General features: G+C 42.8%; 1 pseudogene, besides 4 other annotated features; it reads right to left on the bottom strand.

Moving 5' to 3' along the window:
* Positions 730 to 1,229: an enhancer, noted in NCBI's record as "H3K4me1 hESC enhancer chr15:22433865-22434364 (GRCh37/hg19 assembly coordinates)". NCBI's record gives its function as "activates a minimal SCP1, AML or CMV promoter by ChIP-STARR-seq in naive H9 embryonic stem cells {active_cell/tissue: H9 hESC(naive)}" and the evidence as "EXISTENCE:reporter gene assay evidence [ECO:0000049][PMID:30033119]".
* Positions 1,230 to 1,731: an enhancer, noted in NCBI's record as "H3K4me1 hESC enhancer chr15:22433363-22433864 (GRCh37/hg19 assembly coordinates)". NCBI's record gives its function as "activates a minimal SCP1, AML or CMV promoter by ChIP-STARR-seq in naive H9 embryonic stem cells {active_cell/tissue: H9 hESC(naive)}" and the evidence as "EXISTENCE:reporter gene assay evidence [ECO:0000049][PMID:30033119]".
* Positions 9,091 to 9,590: an enhancer, noted in NCBI's record as "H3K4me1 hESC enhancer chr15:22425475-22425974 (GRCh37/hg19 assembly coordinates)". NCBI's record gives its function as "activates a minimal SCP1, AML or CMV promoter by ChIP-STARR-seq in naive and primed H9 embryonic stem cells {active_cell/tissue: H9 hESC(naive and primed)}" and the evidence as "EXISTENCE:reporter gene assay evidence [ECO:0000049][PMID:30033119]".
* Positions 9,591 to 10,092: an enhancer, noted in NCBI's record as "H3K4me1 hESC enhancer chr15:22424973-22425474 (GRCh37/hg19 assembly coordinates)". NCBI's record gives its function as "activates a minimal SCP1, AML or CMV promoter by ChIP-STARR-seq in naive H9 embryonic stem cells {active_cell/tissue: H9 hESC(naive)}" and the evidence as "EXISTENCE:reporter gene assay evidence [ECO:0000049][PMID:30033119]".
* OR4N3BP (olfactory receptor family 4 subfamily N member 3B pseudogene) lies at positions 20,670 to 21,594 on the bottom strand (annotated as a pseudogene).

Raw genomic sequence — 22,679 nt, 5'->3', positions numbered from 1 at the left:
CCACATGGGTACACCTGTGCTCCTCTGAGCAAAGAGTCCACATGGAGACAGGTGTGCTTGTCTGAAGGAAGGGTCCACGTGGGGACAGGTGTGCTCCTCCAAGGGAAGGGTCCATGTGGGGACAGGTGTTCTTGTCTCAGGGAAGGGTCCACGTGGGGACAGGTGTGCCCCTCTGAGGGAAATGTCCACGTGGGGACAGGTGTGCTTGTCTCAGGGAAGGGTCCACGTGGGGACAGGTGTGCTCGTGTGGAGGAAGGTTCCACCTGGGGACAAGTGTGCTTGACTCAGGGAAGGGTCCACTTGGGGACATGTGTGCTTCTCTCAGAGAAGGGTCTACGTGGGGACAGGTGTACTCATTTGAGGGAAGGGTCCACGTGGGGACAGGGGGGCTCATCTGAAGGAAGGATCCACGTGGGGACAGGTGTCCTTGTCTCAGGGAAGGGTGCACGTGGGGACAGATGTGCTCATCTGAAGGAAGGATCCACGTGGGGACAGGTGTGCTCCTCTCAGAGAAGGGTCCACGTGGGGACAGGTGTGCTTGTTTGAGGGAAGGGTCCACCTGGGGACAGGTGTGCTCGTCTGAGGGAAGGGTCCACCTGGGGACAGGTGGGGTCATCTCATGGAAGGGTCCACGTGGGGACAGATGTGGGAGAGGGTGTGCCTGGTCTGAACTGGAGTTTGAGGGAAGAATTTCTCGAGCAAGTGTGAATCCTGAACATGACCTGTTTTTCAGGAAGGAAAGCAGACCACATGGAAGCAGATGAAGGAAAAAGCAGACCACGTGGGAGCCGGATGAAGGGAAGGTTTCTATGAAATTGAAACAGCCTATCTGCCAGTGGAGAAAGTTATTTCATCCTTTTTTGCCTGCAGTGAGAAAGGGGGAAATCAGAGCCACAGAGAAGAGAATGAAATGTCCCTGAGGACATCTGAGAATTAGAGAAAAGAAAGCCTCAGATTCTAAGGAGAAGTCCTCGCCACTTCCCATCTGAGCCTGCTCTTCAGTGGACCCAAGTGTCGAGTGCATCCTGCACATCTCAGGCCCCCAGGAGGGAGGGTCCTGTCTGGGTTCACACGGCATCCCCTCACTGTGTCTCCCACAGGAATACCTGGCTGTCCTGTGGGTTCCTGGAGCTCCGCCGCAGGGAGCGCTGCTTGTTGGATGAGTCTCTGGATGGAGATGAGGCTCTTGAGAGGCGGCGGTTGTTCGTGTTTCTCTTATAATCGATGCTCCTCAGCCAGTGCAACCCCTTGTCTAGGGGCCGGTGGACCGGGCCTCCGCAGTAACCACTGGCTGTGATGGAGAATCCGGAGTCGTGCCAGGTGAGGAAGGGGGCAGCCACGGCTTCTCCAGTCTTGAGCCTCACTCCTGCTGCTGCACCTGGGACAGGACAGCTGGGAACAAGAACAGTCAGTCCCTGTCAGTCATGGGACATCACAGTTATTGCCACAGCCCGTGTCTGGCCTCTGAGATGCTCACCTTCGGGAGGTGTCAGCAGGCACAGGAGAAGGCCCAGCAATCTCATCTTCTTCTGAACCCACCTTTGTCTTCCCCAGAGACACCGTCCCAGTCTGAGAAGTGACTGGATGCTTCCACAGCCCAGGGGTGGATTTTACCCCAGAGCTAAAACAAAAAATTACACGGGGTGGATGACTATTTATTTATTTATTTATTTAGAGACAGAGTCTCGCTCTGTCGCCCAGGCTGGAGTGCGGTGGTGCAATCTCGGCTCACTACAACCTCTTTCTCCCGGGTTGAAGCGATTCTCCTGCCTCAGCCTCCCTAGTAGCTGGGATTACAGGTGCCCAGCAGCATGCCTGACTAATTTTTGTAATTTTAGTAGAGACAGGGTTTTGTCACTTAGCCAGGCTGGTCTCAAACTCCTGACCTCATGTGATCTGTCTGCCTCGGCCTCCCAAAGTGCTGGGATTATAGGCATGAGCCACCGTGCCCAGCCTAGCTGACTCTTTTTATAAGTAGAAAAGTTAAGATATGGCCCCTACCTCCTGGTAGTTGAGCGTTGTGTAGAGTGCCTTTCCTCCTAAACTCATGTGGCACGCATGTCACTTGACATTTGGTGGTTGGAGGACACTTGGTCTGCGAGACAAATGGGAATAGGCAAAGGACAGCCCTGCCATTCTGATCCCAGGGCTACTTTCCTTCCAACCCCTCTTCCCTCCTGCCCTTCCTTGTTTCTAGCGCAGCTCCCCCTATCCACAGGCCCAGGTCTTGCTTCCTCAGTGCTGAGCCCAGCACAGCTCCTGGGCTCTTTCCTTGGGTCCCACCTGTGGTGTGGCTCTCCTCACCCATGGAGCTTTGGACAACATCACATTACTGTCTCAGGAGCTCTACGCCAGCCCTGCACTCTAACCCATTCTGTGATGCCAGAGACAAGGACCTCAGGACCTACCGGGGCTGGATAAAATAATGTTCTTTGATTTACTCAGGAACTAATTCTCAATAGTTGGGGGAAGAGACAGACACATCCCTTTTTAAGTACTCCATTATCCAGACATTTAAAATGCATCTAAAGTGTGAGGATTTCTACTCTAAATGCATCTCTTCCTCTTGTTCTCTTGAGGCTATTCCTGTATATGAATTACTCATTACCTCAACTCATTACTGATAACACTTTTTTTGGAAATTCATTCATAATAAATAATATGAAAGCAGTACCAATGTCCTCATATACAACTTTTAAAGTTTGTATTGTGATAAGAATACCTACCATGAGATACACTCTCTCAGCAAATTTTTAAGTGTACTGTGCAGTCAAGTTATCTAGACTCAGGATTCTGTGCATCCAGTCTCCAGAACTTATTCATCTTGCAGAACACCAATTTTATACACACAAATTAGCAACTTACAGCTGTTTTGTTTTGGTTTTGTTTTGATTTTGGGGGGCAATTTTTAGGATTTTCTACATACAAGACATGTCATCTGTAAACAGTGACACCTTTACTCCTCTCTTTCTGATTTAGTAACTTTTTCTTGCCTAAGTTCTCTGACTAGGACTTACAATACTATGTAGAACAGAATTGGTGAGATAGGGCATCCTTGTCTTCTCCATCATCTAAGTGGAAGCTTGTTCAGTGTTTCAGCATTGGCTATGATGCTAACTGTGGGCTTTTAAATATGGCTTTCAATATGTCCAGATAATTTCCCTTTATTTGTAGTTTGTTAAGAGGTTTTATCATGGAAAGATGTTGAAATTTGTCAAATGATTTTTATGCATCTGATGAGATAATATTTTAGTCTTTCATTATGTTAATGTGGTCCATCAGATTCAGTGATGTTTAGATGTTGCACCATCCCAATATTCCAGAGAGACATTCCACTGGATCATGGCAAATGATCCTTGTAATGTGCTGTTCAGTTTGATTTGCCAATATTTTGTTGAGTACTTTTTGCATCTTTGTGTTTCAGTAAGAGTGGTCTGTAATTTATGTTAATTTGGTGTTTGCCTGGTTTTGATTTCAGGGCAATGCTGACTTTATAAAATAAGTTTAGAAGTATTTCTTCATCTTAAAACTTTTGGGAGGTCGAGATGGGTGGATCACAAGGTCTGGAGATCGAGACCATCCTGGCTAACAAGGTGAAACCCCATCTCTACTAAAAATACAAAAAATTAGCCGGGCATGGTGGTGGGCACCTGTCATCCCAGCTACTCAGGAGGCTGAGGCAGGAGAATGGCGTGAACCTGAGAGGTGGAGCTTGCAGTGAGCAGAGATCATGCCATGCACTCCAGCCTGGGCAACAGAGCGAGACTCCATCTCAAAAAACAAACAAACAAACAAACAAAAAAACTTTTGGAAGTGGTTCCAAGCTCGCTTTCGATTACTGATTCAGTCTTTTACTAGTAATAGTTCTGTTTCTACTTTTTCAAGATTCAATCTTGGAAGATTGTACATATCTAGGAATTTATCCATTTCTTCTATGTTATCCATTGCTGAGTATACAATTTATTTTTAGTAAGCTCATGAGATAAATGGCCAAACATTAAAAAACGGAGTGAGGGAGTCAGGGACAGACAGGAGACAGTTGAAAGAAAGAAAAATACATTTCAGTCTCCTAGAGTTAGAAGGAATTCTAGAAGGTTTTGTTTAAGATAACAAAAGTGTAGGAATTCCTTATGCTGTGGCTGGGGGCATCCTGGAGAGATGCTGCTGCCTGGAGGCCCAGGCCCCTTCCTGTCCTGGCTCATCATCAGGCTCAGAGGAACTCGAGACCTTAGGGAAAGAGGAGCAATAGAGGGGAAATATTAGCATAGGTTCCAAAAATGAAAAGGAACTAAATAATCATGAAACTACATATAGATATTTTATATAAATGTAATTATTATAAAATTATAATAGTATATTTCTAATATAATTATGACAGTATTATAATTATTTATATAATTATAACAGTATTATAATTATTTATATAATTATATATCACTTTGGTATATATAATGTATATATATAACTAAATTTAAATAAATGTCCATCATTTGACCAATTAGAAATCCAAAGTTTATATACAAAATTCTGTACTGAAATAACTTCTAAGACAAAAATTGAAAATGAAGCTGGTTGGCTTCGTGCCCCTCTACACTACAGGTTCTAGAGAGGGGAATCTAGATCCTGCAGCAGGCAGAAGAATGCCCCCCAAAGATGCCCATGCCATAGTCCTGGGGCTCTACAAAGACATCACCTGCAGGGCCAAAGGGACTGGGCTGACGTGATAGAGGCCCTTGGATGTTACAGTCACCCTGGCCTGTGCATGCCATATGCCCTGGGGTCCTGATGAGGAGAAAGAGGAGCAGCAGAGTCCAAGACTGGGGAGGTGTGGGATGGAAGCGGAGGTCAGTCACACAGCCACCAGCCGGGGAACGCAGGCGCCCCTAGGAGCTGGCAAAGGCAAGAGATAGATTCTCCCAGATAACTCTAGAAGGAAGCAGCATGGCTGGTGCTCAAGTCTTTAGTTCTGTGAAACGCCTTCCAGACTCTGACCTTGGAACTGTATACTGGTCCATTGTAATTTCACTTTAGCATTTTTGGGATTGCACCAATTGGCAAACTTTGTGATCAATACCAGGGCTCCAATAATAGCTATACCTAGGAAATTCATTAGATTTCAAGATTTAAACATGTATCCCATGTGAACTTAAGATAATTAAATAGAAATCAATATATTTGGAAGAAGAAATAGACACACCGCACTTTAGCGGTTGCCTTGCCTAGATTTCACATGATCATAATGTCCTTTGTCCTAAAATATCTCATATTGGGCATACACTCTGACACAATGAATTAAATTAAAATGGAATGAGGTGTTTGGCACTTGTGCATTGGCTTGATAAAATGGAACTCAAAGAGTTCCAGTTTATGTAGTTAATATATTCCAACAGAAGTGAAAATGGACCTTCGAAGATTAAAAACTATTATACAAATCTAATCAATAAAGAGGTGATTTTTCCCATTGCTTCTCTATTTCACAGCCAAATCTTGCCTGTTCTTAAACCGGTGAAGAAGAAAAGACAATAGCATGAAGGTTGCCCTATGTTGGATTGTCACAACTTTCATGCCGTGGCCCCACCCATTAGGGCCCCATACTCCCAATGTTCTCAAAACGACTGGCTTTAACCAACAGCCAGTGCAGACTTTGCTCTTCCAGATGTGTCTAATTGGTTGTACTCAGCGCCCATCTCAGCAGCCCCTTAGCTGCAGATTGTCTTTGCCTGGGAAGGACACCCTTCTCAGGATACGCGGGCACCTCAGCGGCGTGGCCACCACATGAGAGCTTCGCAGGCTGGCTCCTCACTGCATCTGCCTTCCTCCGCAGCACTGCTGACACCTCCTCTGAGGAGATGCTCCCCATACTTTCATTAAGGACATACAAATGCCACATCCTGCTGTTCCTTGTGGGTTCTGGTGCAACATATTCCTCACCCATAAATTTCAACTAGCCTCGCTGTTGTTGCTACTTATAAATCACCTCCCCTAAATGAAATTTCCTTCAACAAAAGGCTCAACAGTGTGCCTAATTTAAAATCAACAGGCTCTTCTGTTAGTATCCTCAGAAACTCCTTCACTAAAGAAACTTGGCAAACCCTTCTCATGCCTCCTGGTGTCTCTGGGCGATCAATGTGGCCTTAAGATGCTCGACAGTTTCCAAGGCAAGTAACTGCTCCCTTTGGCCTTGGACTATAAATCATTCAACTGAACATTGCTGTCTACAACCTGGACTATTTGGACACATCCAGCTAACTATTGTGTTTGGGGTCACGGGAACAGCACCCCACACACTTAGCATGGCTCCAGAGGCCTTCTTAAGACAGGATAAAGCAACACCCAGGCCCTCTGTCATTTCTGCTTGCAGCAGGACTGGCTTCCTATATCCACAGTCACCTGGCAGGTGCCCAAGTGCTGGAGGAGGCCACCTCTCGGCCACATGGGAAGAACGCTGGGACTCACTGAGTGGACAGTGACTGGCATTTGCGGGCTGCAAGGATGACAAGTGATGGGGCTTGGGGCATGCTTCTGCTCTCCCTCTCTTGGCCATATGTCCCAACAAAGGATGGGGCTGGGGATCCCCAAAATTAGGCAGACATCAGGCAGTCACACCAGCATTGGGTGCCCTATCGAACCAATGGCTCCATTTCCACATTTATTATAAACAGCTCAGACGTTGTTTAAGAGCTGTCTTCAGGGTAAGGAAATCTGAAAGTCTCTTGCCTCCCAGACACTGAAAATATAAATCAAGTGGCTCATATCTCTGCACATAATAAGTTCACAATACGAGGCTTTGGTGGGACACTAATGTCCTTCAAAATTGCATACTTTGCTGACAGTAACCAAGTCACACATTTTACTTTTCAAAACACACAATGCTGGATACAGAAAAAGCCACTTGATAGAACTTCATGCCTCTTAGGCCCCATTCAATAGAACTTAATTATGGGCTGGTTTAACTCAGAGACATACTGATCTCCTCAAACAATTCCTTCAAATTCCACTCCAGTAAATGGACACCCAATGGATCTCCAACTTCTGTAGAACTAACTCTCCCTAAATTCAAGGCTCTTAGCTGAGTCGCCCTCATCCCAGCTTTCAGGACTTCTCCATCACCCTTTGAGATACTTATAGGCTTATATTCATTGCATTATTGAGGCTATTTAAAATATTATTTCCATATCTTTACAAATGTTTGATGTTGCTCTTATCTCATAAGGGCTGGAGAACCTATTGAGGGTAAAAACTCTCCTCGGATGATTAGCCATAGAGGGTCCCGTGGGTCAGTCGGCTGCTCATCTGATATGAGCCCATTTGAACGTAAAGTTCCACAAAAACAAACTCAAAAAACAAATGAAAACAACATCAACACCTGCCAACTGCAGCCAAGCACCCCTCTGTTGACTGCTGGTCTCACCATTGTCCATGTGGCTGCTTGTATTGTGGACTTATTTGTTATAATCCAAAGGGCAGAAACCTCCAAATAGGCCATCACTTCAACCAAACACGGCAAGTGCTGATAGCCAGTCAGTCCGCTTGAGCACATGCCCACCTGGAAAGGACACCCTAGTACCCCATCCTAGAGCACATCGGCCTGGCCCAGGGCTCAAAGCTGGAGGTGGCTTTGGCTTTTCCCCGGCGAGCTGGAGACAGTTGTGCCCTAAACCTTAACACCAGTCATGGCCTGGGAAGTCTCTCAATGAAACAATAAGGCATTGGACATGCCTTGCTTTTGTCCCTTGGATACTAGGGATCCTATTGTGCTCCCTGAGCTTGCTGTCCATTTGGTCCAGGATCCCAGTGCACTCCTTGCTGTTTGCCACAACATGCTACACTACATTTCTGTTCATACAGAGAAATCTGATAGTGGTTACTACCATCTCTGTCAGTCTGAAAATCAGCAGAGGTCATTGCTGCACACAAAGGAACCTGCCTCATATCCATCAACCCTTTGACACCATGAGGAGAGAACCACCCACTCCCCAGTAACTTTTCCCACTCCCAACCCGCATCTCTGAACTACGACCACCACCAACACTTCCACCTTTTGATTACCACTAATCTTGAGAAATAATTTACTAACCCATCCATCCATGCACTCCAACAATGTGACTAGAGGACCTGCCACCTTGACCCAAGAAAGACACCAAAATATTATTGTTAGAAAAATACATGCATAAAGAAATTTATAACTGCACCAAGACATTGTTTGCGACCCCAGCTGTCTCAGACCAGGTTTCTTGGCTGTCATACAAATGGGAAACCTATTTATGGGCTGGCTGGCAGCGACTCTTGATACTTCTACTTGTGTTCCTCCTCTCTACTCTCACAGTAAAATGTTTTCTATATCCTTTAGGGCAACTGATGTAGCCACACTCTGTAAACTCTTCAGCATCAACACTCCAAAAATTCCTTCACATGACATGAAACCATCAGAGGTTGGGTTGGGTTAATCCTGTGTCCTTATTCTCCGTGTTTATGATACTCTGACATCTTGGAGTCTTGTGGAACTGGGGAGGAAAAGCCTGTCCCAGGATTACTTAATTTCTAGAAGAAACACTTGCTGGTGAGCACACCTTTCCTGTGCAAACCAGGGCATACGGGCCCATTCTCCCCACCTGTTTATCTGACTCACACAACAAGCCAACATTTCCTCTGCCCTAAACCCCCAAGGGGCAGGTACAGGACAAGGAGAGATGGCTCCAATAGGCCAGAGCCCATCGCGTTTTTCAGCATCCCATGCCATGCCGGTTGGAAGCTCGTCCACCCGCCTCCCTCATCCCTTCCCCTGGAAGCTGAAGAAGGCTGTGCTGCTGCCGCCTCCCTGCTCCCCTTCAGGGCTTTCTGGGCAAGGCTTACAGTTCCAGGAGGATCCAGCCCCCCGTGTGGAGGTGCTCTCCAGGTCCTGAGACTTCAGTGCAAGATGAAGGTGTGCTTTGCACGTGGGAGGCCTCAGTCATAAGCAGGGAAGGTCCAGGGGAGGCCTCAGTTTCTGATTCAGGAGCTGGAGAAGGAGGAGGCCTTATCTGCTCCCAGGAATGACCCTCCCTCTTCTGAGTGCCCCGCCATCTGGGGCTCCAGGTCAGAGAAGTGCCAGCCACAAGAGGGAACTTGGAAGGTGTGGAAATGAATTCTGCTCTCAGGAGAAAACCCCACTGATGAAGACATGCTTGCCTTTTCCTTCTCTCCTCCTGGGCACCCTTGCCCTAGGGCCCGCCTCTCCCTTCATCCCCCTGAGGGAACTTTGAGCAGAGTGTGGGCCCAGAGGCCACAGGTCAGGGACATGAGCTCAGCGCTATGGGGATGCACAGCCTTGGGCAGTCAGTGGATGCTTCCTGGTGGGGCCTCGCCTCTGAATGGCCACATGAGTCATTCCTGCCCTGGACAGTAGAGAACCCGAGCAGAGGATGGCCCTCCCAGCAGGATTTGACTGTGAGCATTCCGTGAGCATAGCTCATTTCTCAGAGCTGAGAGGGTGGTCCTGACTGGCTTGCGCCCTCCCAGTGCACCTCTGTGTCCTCTCCACGCTGCCTGCCTCCCCAGGGCCTGGGCAGCCCCTACCTCCTGCTGATTTCCCTCAGCCCAGCTCCTGCTCGGGGGGAGCCCTGCAGAGCCCTCACTGGGCACCTCTCTCAGAGGCACTGGGCCCCACAGGTAACTGAGCAGGTGCAGCCATCGCTCAGTACAGCTCCTGGGGACAGGTCAGGTGGGTTAGGCTGGGGCTCTGGTGAGGTCAGGCCACACCACCCAGGGGAGACAAGAGCTGAGACACCTCACTTCCCATGTCTCTCTTTTCACGTCTCTTAGGGCAGTCTTCCCCCAGCTGTGTAGCTCAGGAAGAACTCTCAGGGTTCATGTGGAGAAAGAGGCTGTGACCACCCCAGAGGCCTCTTCTCCAGTGAGAAGCAGGGGGACACCCCGGAGGAGCAGACATTCTAAGGCTGCCCGTGAGCCCTGCAACTGGCTCTGTTCCCAGCAGGGAGGTGGAGAGGATGCCACTCAGGAATCACCTCGGAGCCCCGAGAAGAGGGAGGTCTAGATGTTGATTTCTTGGGAAAGGGCTGTGAGCTCAAAGATGGGCTTAGGAATATGGATCACAGAAAAAAATTTGATGTGCAAAAATGAAAAAAAATATGACTTTTATTAAATCATAAAACTGTGATGAAACAGCTGACATCAGTGGAGCAGCCTGCACATTTTCCATCCAGGCATCGTTGAGTCTAGATACGTGTCCCAATTATAGACCATCCAGTCATCCAGGGCTGCCACTTGCAGATGGAAAATTGTACTATTTTCAATCATGCACTGAGGTTTGAATTACTTCACAGACTGAACCAAACAAACATGGGCTCCATTGAAGAGTGTCTGGCATTTGTTTCAACCACAAGAGAACTTTCCCCAGCTCTCCCTCATTCTCGGTTCTCTCCTGCAAGCCAGCAGCCCTGCAGTGTAGCCTGCATCTCCCATGCATCCACCCATCTCCTTCCAAGGGCTTTCCACCACACCATCCACTGTTTTTGAGAGCACTGGCAGGCTTTCAATTTGTCCACATTCTGTTGTTACTGAAGTTAGGATTTTTAGGACTAATTAAGGATCATATTTTATGACTGAATTCCATTGCTCCCTCTCTCCTGGGACAGAGCTCCTAAACAAGGTTCTGCAGGTGTAGACAAAGTTGAGCTGTTTTATTCCTCAGCCTAGGAGCTGAGCTCTCAGTGGAGGGTCGGGCAGGAGCTTCCCACCTTCTCAGCACTTCGGTTATTGTGGGGTGGAACCTCTGCCATAGGACAGAGCTAGAAACCAGAGACCCAGTGTTCCCAGTGGCACTGGACCCGGGGCAGAGCCTCCATCCATGAGTGGGGCTCCATGGAAGAAGTGAGTCTCTGGCTCTCGGTAGCTCTTGTTCAGCACTGAACCTCAGCATCATGTGCTGTGTGCAGGGTCAGAGGGCCAACGTACTGGGCCCTGGGGAAGAGTTTCCTCTGGTGGGAGTTGGTAGAAGGTGTCCTGTCTTCTTGGCTGCATCTGTCGGCAGTGGAGTTTACATCATGCTGAGCTGGGATGTGGAAGGAAGGAAGATCATCTTAGATCAAGCATGATGACTGGCCTTACCGAGTTTTCTAGATTTTCTTGAATAAATATTTCTTCACTTGCTTTATGCTGTTAGAGCCTTTCCAAACCCTGTAATTTTTCAAAATAATTTTCACTGGTCTCATGAGGGCCTGGATTCACTGAAACCCTCATGCTGTCGAAGAGAAATAGAATTTTTTTTCACTTTTTAGAGAACACCCATGCGTTATAAAATAATGGGTTGACTTTTCATCCAACACTTTACAGATACCATCAACTTTCCTCTTGCTTGTAAGGTTTTAACCAGAAGAATGCTGTCATCATCTTTTCTGTTCTTTTGGAAGGAATGCCCCCTCTGCTCACCTCCACTTGCCTGCATATATTTCTATTTGTCTTTCCTTTTCAGCAGTTTTAATAAGATTTACCTAAATGTGTGTGGGGGGATCAGTGGGTGTAATTCTGCTGTTCTGTGTTCTCTGAGATGCATGGATTCACGGTTTACTCTGTCTCCATTTTGGGGAACACAATTAGAAAAAATGTCAGTATGAGCCCAGAAACAAGCCTCCCTGAAGAGGGAACAGGACCACCTGGGGACGCTCAGGACCCACTGAGCACAAGAGCCAGCCTCAGGGCAGGTGCAGAGGGAGGTTAAGGTCTGGTTTCCTGTCAGCCCTGTGGCTTCCTCTCCATGAAACAGTTTCCTCCATGAAACAGTTTCAGAATATGTGCCATGGGGTGATGAGAAGAATGTATATTCTGTTGCTTTTTGGTGGAGAGTTCTGTAAACATCTATCAGGTCCATTTGATCCAGTGCTGAGTTAAGGTCCTGAATATCTTTGCTAATTTTCTGCCTAAGTGATGTGTCTAATACTGTCAGTAGGGTGTTGAAGTCTCTCATTATTATTGTGTGTGAGTCTAAGTCTCTTTGTAGGTTTCTAAGAATTTGTTTGAACAGGGTGCTCCTGTGTTAAGTGCGCGTATATTTAGGATAGTTAGCACTACTTGTTGAATTGAACCCTTTGCCATTATGTCATTACCCTTTTTTGTCTTTTTTTATCTTTGTTGGTTTAAAGTCTGTTTTGTCTGAAATTAGGATTACAATCTCTGTATTTTTTATGTTTTCTATTTACTTAGTAGATTTTCCTCCATCCCTTTATTTTGAGGCTATGGGTGTCATTGCATATGAGCCTATGGGTGTCATTGCATGTGAGCCTATGTGTGTCATTGCATGTGAGCCTATGCGTGTCATTGCATGTGAGCCTATGCGTGTCACTGCATGTCTCTTGAGACAGCATACCATTGGGTCTTGCTTTTTTATCCAGCTTATCACTCTGTGCCTTTTAATTGGGGCATTTACCCCTTTTACATTCAAAGTTAGTATTGATATGTGTAGATTTGATCCTGTCATCATGCTGTTAGTTGGTTACCATACATACTTGTTTGTGTGGCTGCTTTCTAGTGTCATTGGTCTATGTACTTCAGTGTATTTTTGAAGTGGTTGGTAATGATATTTCCTTTTCTTATTTAGTGCTTCCTTCAGGAGCTCTTGTAAGGCAGGTCAGTCTGGTAGTAACAAATTCCCTCAGCATTTGCTTGTCTGAAAAGGATCTTATTTCTCCTTCACTTATGAAGCATAGTTTGGCTAGATGTAAAATTCTAGTTTGGAATTTCTTTTCTTTAAGAATCTTGAATATTGGCCCCCAACCTCTTCTGGTTTGTAGAGTTTTTGTTGAGAGGTCTGCTTAGTCTTATGGGCTTCCCTTTGTAGGTGACCTGACCTTTCTCTCTGGCTGCCTTTTGCATTTTTTTCTTTCATTTCAACCTTGGAAAATCTGATAATTATGTGTCCTGGAGGTGATCTTCCTGTGAAGTACCTTAAATGGGTTTTTGTATTTTCTGAATTTGAATGTTAGCCTCTCTAGCTAGGTTGAGGAAGTTCTCATGAATGATATCCTGGAATATGTTTTCCAAGTTGCTGCCATTCTCCCCATCTCCTTCAGGGACACCAGTGAATCATAGATTTGTTCTCTTTACATAAACATATTTATCAGAGGTTTTGTTTCTTCCTTTTCATTCTTTTTTCTCTATTCTTGTCTGCCTGTCTTGTTTCAGAATGCCAGTCTTAAAGCACTAATATCATTTCTTCTGCTTGGTCTATTCTGCTGTTAATAGTTGTGATTGCATCATGAAATTTTTGCAGTGTGTTTTTCAGTTCTATCAGGTCAGTTATGTTCTTTTCTATACTGTCTATTTTGTCTGTCAGCTCCTGCATTGTTTTATTGTGATTCTTAGCTTCCTTGGATTGGGTTTCAACATACTCCTGTACCTTGTTGCTCTTCATTTCTATCCATACTCCAAATTCTATTTGTGTCACTTCAGCCAACCCAGTTCAGTTAAAAACTTTTGGTGGAGAGCTGGTGGAGGCATTCGGAGGAAAGACAGCATGCTGGCTTTTTGACTTGTCAGAGTTCTTGCACTGTTTTTTTCTCATTTTTGTGGGCTAGTGTTTTTTCAATCTTTGAAGTTCTTGTCCTTTGGATTTTTTTTTTATCTTATTAGATGACTTTGAGAGTTTGATTGTGTTATAAAGTGGGTTCAGTCAACTGGCTTTATTTCTGGAAGATTTTGGGGACCAAGGTTCAGCTGTCATCTCCCCAGCTGCATGTTTTAATTCTGGGGGACTTATATCCTACCCTACTTTGTTCTCTGACTTCTCAAGATTATGAACAGACTGTGATGGGGGTGCTAAGGTGCTCCTGGACTGCTGGTCACTACACGTTGATGGAATGGTGCTAGTCAAAGGGTTTTGTAGTGTGGTGGCAGTAGGGGGGGGGGTCTGTCCTCATTCACAGGTGCCCTCAGCAGCACCAGAACCAGCAGTATTAAATCAGGATGCATGCTTGTCAGCTGCAGCAGACTGCTAGCAGGTGCTGAGATGCCTGCCTCCATGAAGGCATTGACAGCAGGGGTAGAGTCAGCATAACTTGGGGGGTCAGCAGGCCCCCATTGGTGACTGTGTGCATTGGTGCACTGATGGTGGTGTTAGTATGGGGGCAGGACACTGGTGGGTTCAGGTGTGTGTGCACCCTCTGTGGCTACTCAGGGCAGGGGAGGGTTCATTGTTTTCAGTGCCTAGTTTCATTCTGGTGGCAGTGTTGGCACAGGGGCAGGTCACTGACAGAGGCAGGACTGGTGGGCTCTGTGCCCACTACAGCTCTGACTGCAATGGTAGTATGGCCGAGGAAGGGGAGCAGAGTGCACTCCTGCTGGCAGCAGAGGCAGGGCAGCGTACACGTGCTCACACAAGCTGGTGGTGAAGGGAAGGGAAAATCCACCTGCACACATACAAGCCAGCCAAATGATGTCAGGGGGCAGGGGTGGTTGGCCATGGGCTTGGAAGAAGCTGCAGCAGAGGGAGGGAGCAGGCAGGTTGGTGCATGGCCCTAGGGGCCACCCCGCTGGAGCTCTCCACCAATTAGATATGGTCTGCCATTGCAGAAGCTAAGATGCGGGTCCCCAGGGAACCTGAGTCTGTACTGCAAGCAGAAAAAAACCAGGCTGGAGCACTGGGAGAGGTCAGCAGACCAGGGGGTACTAAGGTTGGATCTGCCCCATCTGATGGGAAGACTGCCCTGCAGAATTCATATCTGACAGTTCCCCTAGGGCTAAAGTCTCCTATGGAGGCAAGTCAAGTCTGGAGAGATGGGTATCCCTGGCCGTGCTCTGCTATAGATGTTCCTGCAACAAACCCTCTGGGCTCCATATCGGCTACCATGCTGCTCCTACCACTCCTCTAAGCACTTCCCCTGCCAACTCTGTGTCTGTAGTGGTTGAGGGGTCTCCTCCCGGTGGGATTCCAGAGGCTTGTGGCAAGAGTAGGTTGCTTCTTGCCAGTTCAACTCACCCATTCCCCCAAAGTTCTTGGGGGTGAGGAACGAGTCCCATTGCACGGTAGCCCCACCCAGCTTCTGCCCAGCTTTTGTGTCTTGAGGACCTGTTAGGACTGTGCCAGTCATCCCAGTCCCACAGTGACAGCTGTTCTATCTGTCTGCAACTAGTCAGACATCTTGACCAAATTGGAAGTTTCTTACAAAGCTGAGCATAGCCTTACCATATGATCACACTCCCAGGCACTTACCCAACTGATTTGAAACATGTGTACACAAAAACCCAGTCATGAATGTTTACAGCAACTTCATTCCCTAACAGCCAAAAATTGGAGACAATCACAATGTTCTTCAACGAGTGTATGAATAAACAAACTGTGCTATATTTACAATAGAATGTTATTCAGCAATAAAAAGGTCATTAACTACCAAGCCATAAAAAAGCATGAATGAATCTTAAATGCATAATGCTAGCTGAAAGAAGCCAGTTTTGAAAGGTTATATACTGTATGACTCCAATTGTATGACATTCTAGAAAAATTAAAACTATAGAGACAGTAAAAGACTGGTGGTTACCAAGAGTACAAGGAGAAGAAAGAAGAGTGGAATAATTTAAGTTGAAGAACAATTTAGGGTGAAGAAATTATTCTTTCTAATGCTGTAGAAATGAATACATGATATTATAAATATGTCAAAAATTATAGAAAAAACTTAATTTGTGTAAGTTTTAACAACTATACTACAACAAATTGAATAACCTTGAAGAAATAGATAAATTTCTGGACACAATTTGTCAAAATTAAATTAAGAGGAAATAAAAAATCTTAACCGATCAATAAGGAATAAAATTGAATCAATAGTTTCAAAAATCTCACAGCAAAGAAAAGCCCAGGACCTAATGGATTCTGTTTTAAATTTTACCAAACATTTGAAAAAGAACTAATACCAATTTATTGAAATTGAATAGGCATACTCATTTTAGAAGGCCTGCATTACTCTGATACCTAAGCCACAGGTGGATACTAAAAGAAAAGTTCAATCCAGTGTCTCTGATGAACATAAATGCCAGAATACTAACACATTAAATCTGGCAGCACATTAAAAGGATAATTCATGGTTAGCAAGCACAGTGATATTTGAACATATGCAAATCAATAAATGTGATATACCACATTGGCAGAATGAAAGGCAAAAACCATATGGTTACCTCAATAGATGCAGAAAAGGCATTGACAAAATTCAACATCCTTCATCATAAAAACTATGCTTAGAAGGAACCTACCACAGTGATAAATGCCACATATTACAATCGCACAGCTAACATCATATTCAATGGTGAAAAATTGAAAGCTTTCCTTCTAAGATCAGAAAGAAAATAAGGATGCCCACTCTCACCGAGTCTACTCAATATATTACTGAAAGTACTAGCTAGAGTAAGTAGGTAAGAAATAAAAGGCAACCAAATTGCAAAAGAAGAAGTAAAATTGTCTGTTTGCAGATGACGTGATCTTATATCGAGAAAATCCTAAAGATGTCCTCAAAAAAACCTTCTAGAATAAGTGAGTTCATAAAGCTGCAGATTAAAAAATGAACATACAAAAACTAGTGGTATCTCTGAACAGTAACAATGAATTATCTGAAAAGGAAGTCAAGAAAACAATCCCATTTATAACTATAAAAAATTAAAACAAAATACTTAGGAATAAATTCAACCAGGAGGTTTAATCTCTGTACACTGAAAACTATAATACATTGATGAAATAAATGGAAAAAGAGAATTAAAAGTAAATATACCTATGTACATTAATTTTAAAAAATTAATATTGTTAAAATATCTAAAATAATTAAATTACCTACAGATTCTATCAAGTCCCTATTAAAATTCCGATGGCATTCATCATAGAAATGGAAAAAACAAAACCAAATTTGTATGTACTTGTACAAGACTCTAAATAGCCAAAGTAATTTTGAGAAAAAGGAACAAAGCTGGAAGCATCACACTCACTGCTTCAAACTCTACTACAAAGCCATATTAATTAAAACAGTATGGTACTATAAAAACATGACACATAACAATGGAACACAGTAGGGAGCCCAAAAATAAATTCACACATATATGGCCAACTAAGATTTGACAAGGGTGCCAATAATACACAATGGGAAAAGAAAAGTCTATTTAATAAATGCTGTTGTAAAAGCTAAATATCCACATGCAAAAGAAAGAAACTGAAGTCTTGTCTTATGACATATACTAAAACTAACTGGAAATGAATTAAAGATTTAAATGTAAAACCTGAAACTGTAAAACTACCAGAAGAAAACATAAGGAAAAAACACCTTGACAACAGTCTTGGCAATCATTTTTTGGATATGACCACAAAAGCACAGGCAACAAAAAATAAACAAGTGGGACTATATCAACTAAAAATTCCACTGCGCCACAAAAGAAACAATTGACCAAATTAAAAGGTAACCTATCGAATGGGAGAAAATATTAGTAAACCATATGTATGATAAGGGGTTAATACTCATAATATATTAGGAAGTACGCAAGTCAACAGTAAAACAACAAACAACCTGATTTTTACAATTGGCAAAGATTTTAACAGACATATTCCCAAAACAGACATAGAAATAGCCAACATGTATATGAAAAGGTGCTCAACATCATCAACCATTGGGAAAATGAAATTAAAACCGCAATGAAACATCACCTCATACCTACTGTAATGGCCATTATGAGAAGACACATGATAACAAGTGTTGGTAAGGATGTGGAGAAAAGGGAACCCTTTCACAGTATTGATGGGAATGTAAATTGGCACAGGCATTATGGAAAACAATATAGATGTTCTTCAAAAAATAAAAAATAAAACTTCCATATGTTCCAGCAATCTCACTTCTAGATATATACCCAAAGGAAATGAAATAAGTATCTCTAAAAGATAACTATACTGCTATGTTCACTGCAGCATCATTCACTATAGCCAAAATATGGAAACAACCCAAGTGTACATCAATTGATGAATGAGTATAAAAATTGTGGTACATATATGTGATAGATTATCATCCAGCCAAAGAAAGAAGGAAGTTTTGCCCTTTGCAGCAACATAGATAAACCTAATAGACATTACGGTAGGTGAAATAAGCCAGACACAGAAAGACAGACACTATATGATCTCACTTACATGTAGAATCTGAAAAAAAAAAAAAAAAGCTCATTGAAGGAGAGAGTAGAACAGTGGTTGTCAGAGGGTTTTGAAGTCAGAGAAAAGGGGAATATGTTGGTCAAATGGTACAAACTTTCAGCCCTAAGATAAACACATTCTTGGTAACTAATGTACAACATGGATGGTGATTAATGTGTTAATTTGATTGTGGTAATCATTATACAATGTATATGTATATCAAATTATCATTTCATATACCTTGAATATATTTGATCTTTATGTGTCAATTAAATATTTATAAATTTAAAAATCTACAAAAGAAACAAATCATTTCAATTCTATACAATAAAAAAGAACTATCTAAAAGGGAAATTAAGAAATTAATCTCATTTCCATTAGAACCAAAAAATAAAATATTTAGGAGTAAACTTAAACAAAGAGGTGAAAGACTTGTACACTTAAACTGTAAAACATTGATGAAAGAAATTAAAGCAGATGGAAATAAACGGAAAGACTTTCTGTGTTAATGGAATAGAACAATTAATATTGTTAAAATATCCACACTACCTGAAGCAATCTATAGATTCAATACAATCTCTGTGAAAATCCCAACATCATTTTTTAAAGAAATTTTTAAAAATCCTAAAATTCATGTGGAGACACAAAGACTCATGAAGTGACATGGACAGGGGAAAAGGTGGCAAGAAGGTTTTATTTAGGAGGGAATAAATGCGGTTACACGCTAAAGGTTACACCCAATAGGGAGGACAAAGTTCATGTTATAGGTGAGAGAAAGGAGAGTTACCAGAGTAATTGCCTTTAGTAGAGAGGACGGGATGGAATCTGGTGCACAGGTGGAAGGGTTTACTTCTGTAGGAGCAGGATCAGGTCACCCAGTTTCAGGAGAAGTTAAAGGAAACTTAATCACAGATGCAGGTTGTATAGTGGTAGTGATGGGAGATTAAGGAATTCTCACCTGTTACCTTTCTCAGTAAAACAGGAAGCAACACAATAAACAGAGTGATAATAGAGAAGGATTATTTGAAGATTCAGACCACTTTTTCTATAGTCTGAATATTTTTACCATGTACAAAATTTATATTCCTAAGTATAAACTTTGGTTTTTATCAAAAATAAAATATTTTAAAACTCAATTTTTGACCCCCTTGCATTTGGGGTTCCAGATGTTTTGGATGCTGCCCATTTAATGCACTCATTTGAGATTTGAATATGTAGTAAGCTAGTTAAAGGGAGGCAGTAGGATAGGCTTCTGTTATACTAGGGGCGATTTGTTAGGTCCAAAGTGATTCCGGATCATCAACTTGATCCCAGGCACATGGCTAAAATTGTAGTGTTTTTCAGACAACAGATGGCTAAGATTGTAGCAAGAACAACTTCCCTGACAACATAGGTCACCTGTGTTAGTCTGTAAGTCATCTCTGGGTGTCCAGCCTATAGTCTGCTCTTCTAGACTTTGCAGTGATTTTGTGAACACCTCTCTTGATATTAAATGATGTTTTGTTTAAAATAGCTGGAATGGTTTCTTCTCTCTGACACAAAATCCTGATTGGTCTATGAAAAGACTGTCATTATTAAACTTACAGTGAAATCAATTGGCAATAAGGTCAAACATACAGCTAAAAGTCATAAAAATTTGCTAGGATTAATAATGAAGCTCCAGAAAAAAAAAGTAAAATTTTTTTTGATCTTTTTCAGTAAAAGTAACCAGCTTTCTTTTGCCACTCTCTGCTTATGTATGTAAGAAAAATTGGTAGTTTAATATCTTTCAAAGTGCACTTACAAATATAATATTTTCCTCTTAATGATATTTTTCAACTCTTTGATATCTGCATAGAATCTTGAGTTTACAGCCCTAAGTCATTTATGACCCTTCAGTAGAGGAATCACTCTTTTGCTTAAAGCCACAGAATGGCTTCTTATTGTAATTGTAATAAAATGAAAACTCACATTTACTATGTAGACCATATGTTTTTGACACTACCAGTATCTCTAACTTTAAGTTTAATCATTTTCACATTAAATTACTATATTCTTGGTAACATGGACTTTATTGTATTCTTCAAATATACCAAGTTCATCATCATCTTTGAGTTTTTGCACTGCCTGTGCCCTCTGTCTACCATACTATAGCCACAAATGTTTGCATGTTTGGCTTCTTCAGTTTATCCAGATATGATCCAAAATGTCAGCTCTTCAAGGCCTTTTTTTATTATTAAACACAAATTGGTTACTCCCAATCCAGAGTCACAGTTTATCATTTCACTTTTCGTTTTAGTTTTTACAGAGCAGTATCTCTTCCTGAAACTATGCTGTTTATTTTCTACCTTAACGGCGGTCTATTTTTACTAGGTTGTATCTCTTGGAGAGCAGATAGACCTTATCTGCCTCAATACTTTCTTTCTTCAGTTCCTAGAATAGTCCTGACAAATGGGAGGTATTCAATGATTGCAGTACTTGGAAATAAACAAATCAATTTCAGATAAAATTCTACAGTCTATTTTTATTCTTTTTTTTTTTTTTGCCCTTTTTCAGGCTATGTGTTTATTAAACACCTTTTTCATGGAAGCTTTCACTTCCTGGTTATGAAGGGTATAAATGACAGGATTCAACAAAGGAAGAATCACTGTGTGGAAGAGAGAAACCACCTTGTCGGCTGGGAAAGCCCTGAAGGGGCACGTGTAGATGAAGATGCCAGGTCCAAACATGAAGAATATAACAATGATATGGGTGGTGCATGTGGACATGGCCTTGTTTTTTGCCTCAGAAGAAGACGCTCGTATGCGACAAAGAATGACTGCATAGGAGGCCAGAAGTCCCAGAAAGCACATGAGTGTCATCAGGCCACTATTGAAGACCATCAGAAGCTCCACCACAAACATGTCGGTGCAAGCCAGCTTGATGACCTGTCGGACATCACAGAAGAAGTTGTCCAGCTGGTTTGGGCCACAAAAAGGCAAGCGGATGATGAGGACCACCTGGATAATGGAGTGGACAAAACCCCCAAGCCACAGAGCCAACATCATTGCATAGCAGGCTCTAGAGTTCATGACAGTTGAATACTGCAGAGGCAGGCAGATGGTGATGTAGCAGTCAAAGGCCATCACAACAAGGAGTAATCCCTCCCCTCCTCCAAGGAAGTGCAAGAAAAAGAGCTGAGTGATGCAGCCTCTGTAGGAGATTACCTTCTTCTCAGAGAGGAAGTCCACCAACATCCTGGGAGCCACAATGAAGGAGTAGGATGCATCCAGGAAGGCCAAGTTGCCCAGAAATAAATAGAGGGGGGCTGTGAGCCCAGGGTCTGACCTTATGGTGAAAATAATGAGAAAATTTCCAGGGAGGATGAAGAAGTAGAATATTAAAACTAGCACAAAGACCAGGAGCTAAATATCTCGAAACTGGGTCAAACGAAGGAGGATGAATTCTCTTATCACTGTTCTGTTCTCGCTTTCCATTTCCCTGGCCTGCAGTACATTAAGAAGCAGAATTAATTGTTATTGCTATGTCTTCCAACTAGATACTAGTTCTACAGCTAAAAAATATTTGGCACATATAGTACTTCAGCTAAAAACAACACTTCCCATCCCTCTCCTATTCTGGGGAAACTCTGTTACCTTAATTTCTCCAAATTTAAAATGAAAAATGAAAACAAAATATGGTTCTCAAAGCTACAGTTTTATTCCCATTCAACCATGTGCTTCTACAGAATCATTTTCCATGTTAGGAGTCTGGTATCCTCCACGTTGGGATTCCTACATTCCTAAATCATGTAAGTTTCCTAATGGAGACACAACCTAACTTCAAATCTGAAGGTCTTTGAGTTTTTTGGATATACTATGCTTGAGGGTTAGTTCTTTTCTTGGGATTAGACCCTTTTTCTCCTTGTCCACACCACCCCCAAATTTTCCTAGACAGTTTCTTCCCTCAATTCCTGTGTAATTCCCAGTTCCTAGCTGGTAACTCTCTTCCTTGCCCTCTGTCTTATCATCTAATTTACTTCTTACTATACTCCTTTTGGTCTGATATCCTTGAATACTCTTTTCCCAGACTGTTCACGAGAATCCCAAGCTATAGCTCCACTTTTGACCTAACACAGGCACAGTGCTCCAGCTGTAACTCTGTTTGAACACCACTCCTGTGGCCACTCCACACCTGCATGCAGCTTATTTAGCACTTTTTGAGTTTCAAATACTAATAAACTCACAACACATTTCTTTCTCTGTTCCAAGTATGACACCCAAGATACAGCCCTTTAACAAAAAATATGCTACAATATAAAATTTGCAAGTATAAAACTTTAAAATATCATTATCTCAACTCATAAGATCATAGCATAGATACACTGTAAGTAGCCATAAAGATACTGTAGTGTTATTCTTCCATTTCAAAGATGAGAAATAACCTGTAGTTATATTACTTAAGTTTAGAGTGAGTTTTATTTTTTGCTCTGCTTGATAAGTAGTAGGATAATGCAAGTGTATACTATTCAGTTTAAATAGATAAAGAATTTTTTAATCACAGCTTCAATGAATGAATGTTC

Source organism: Homo sapiens, chromosome 15, assembly GCF_000001405.40.
Source record: "Homo sapiens chromosome 15, GRCh38.p14 Primary Assembly".
In the NCBI taxonomy this organism is placed as follows: domain Eukaryota; kingdom Metazoa; phylum Chordata; class Mammalia; order Primates; family Hominidae; genus Homo; species Homo sapiens.
The sequence above is the reverse complement of the archived record's forward strand: the minus strand, read 5'-3'. Positions and strand labels throughout refer to the sequence as shown.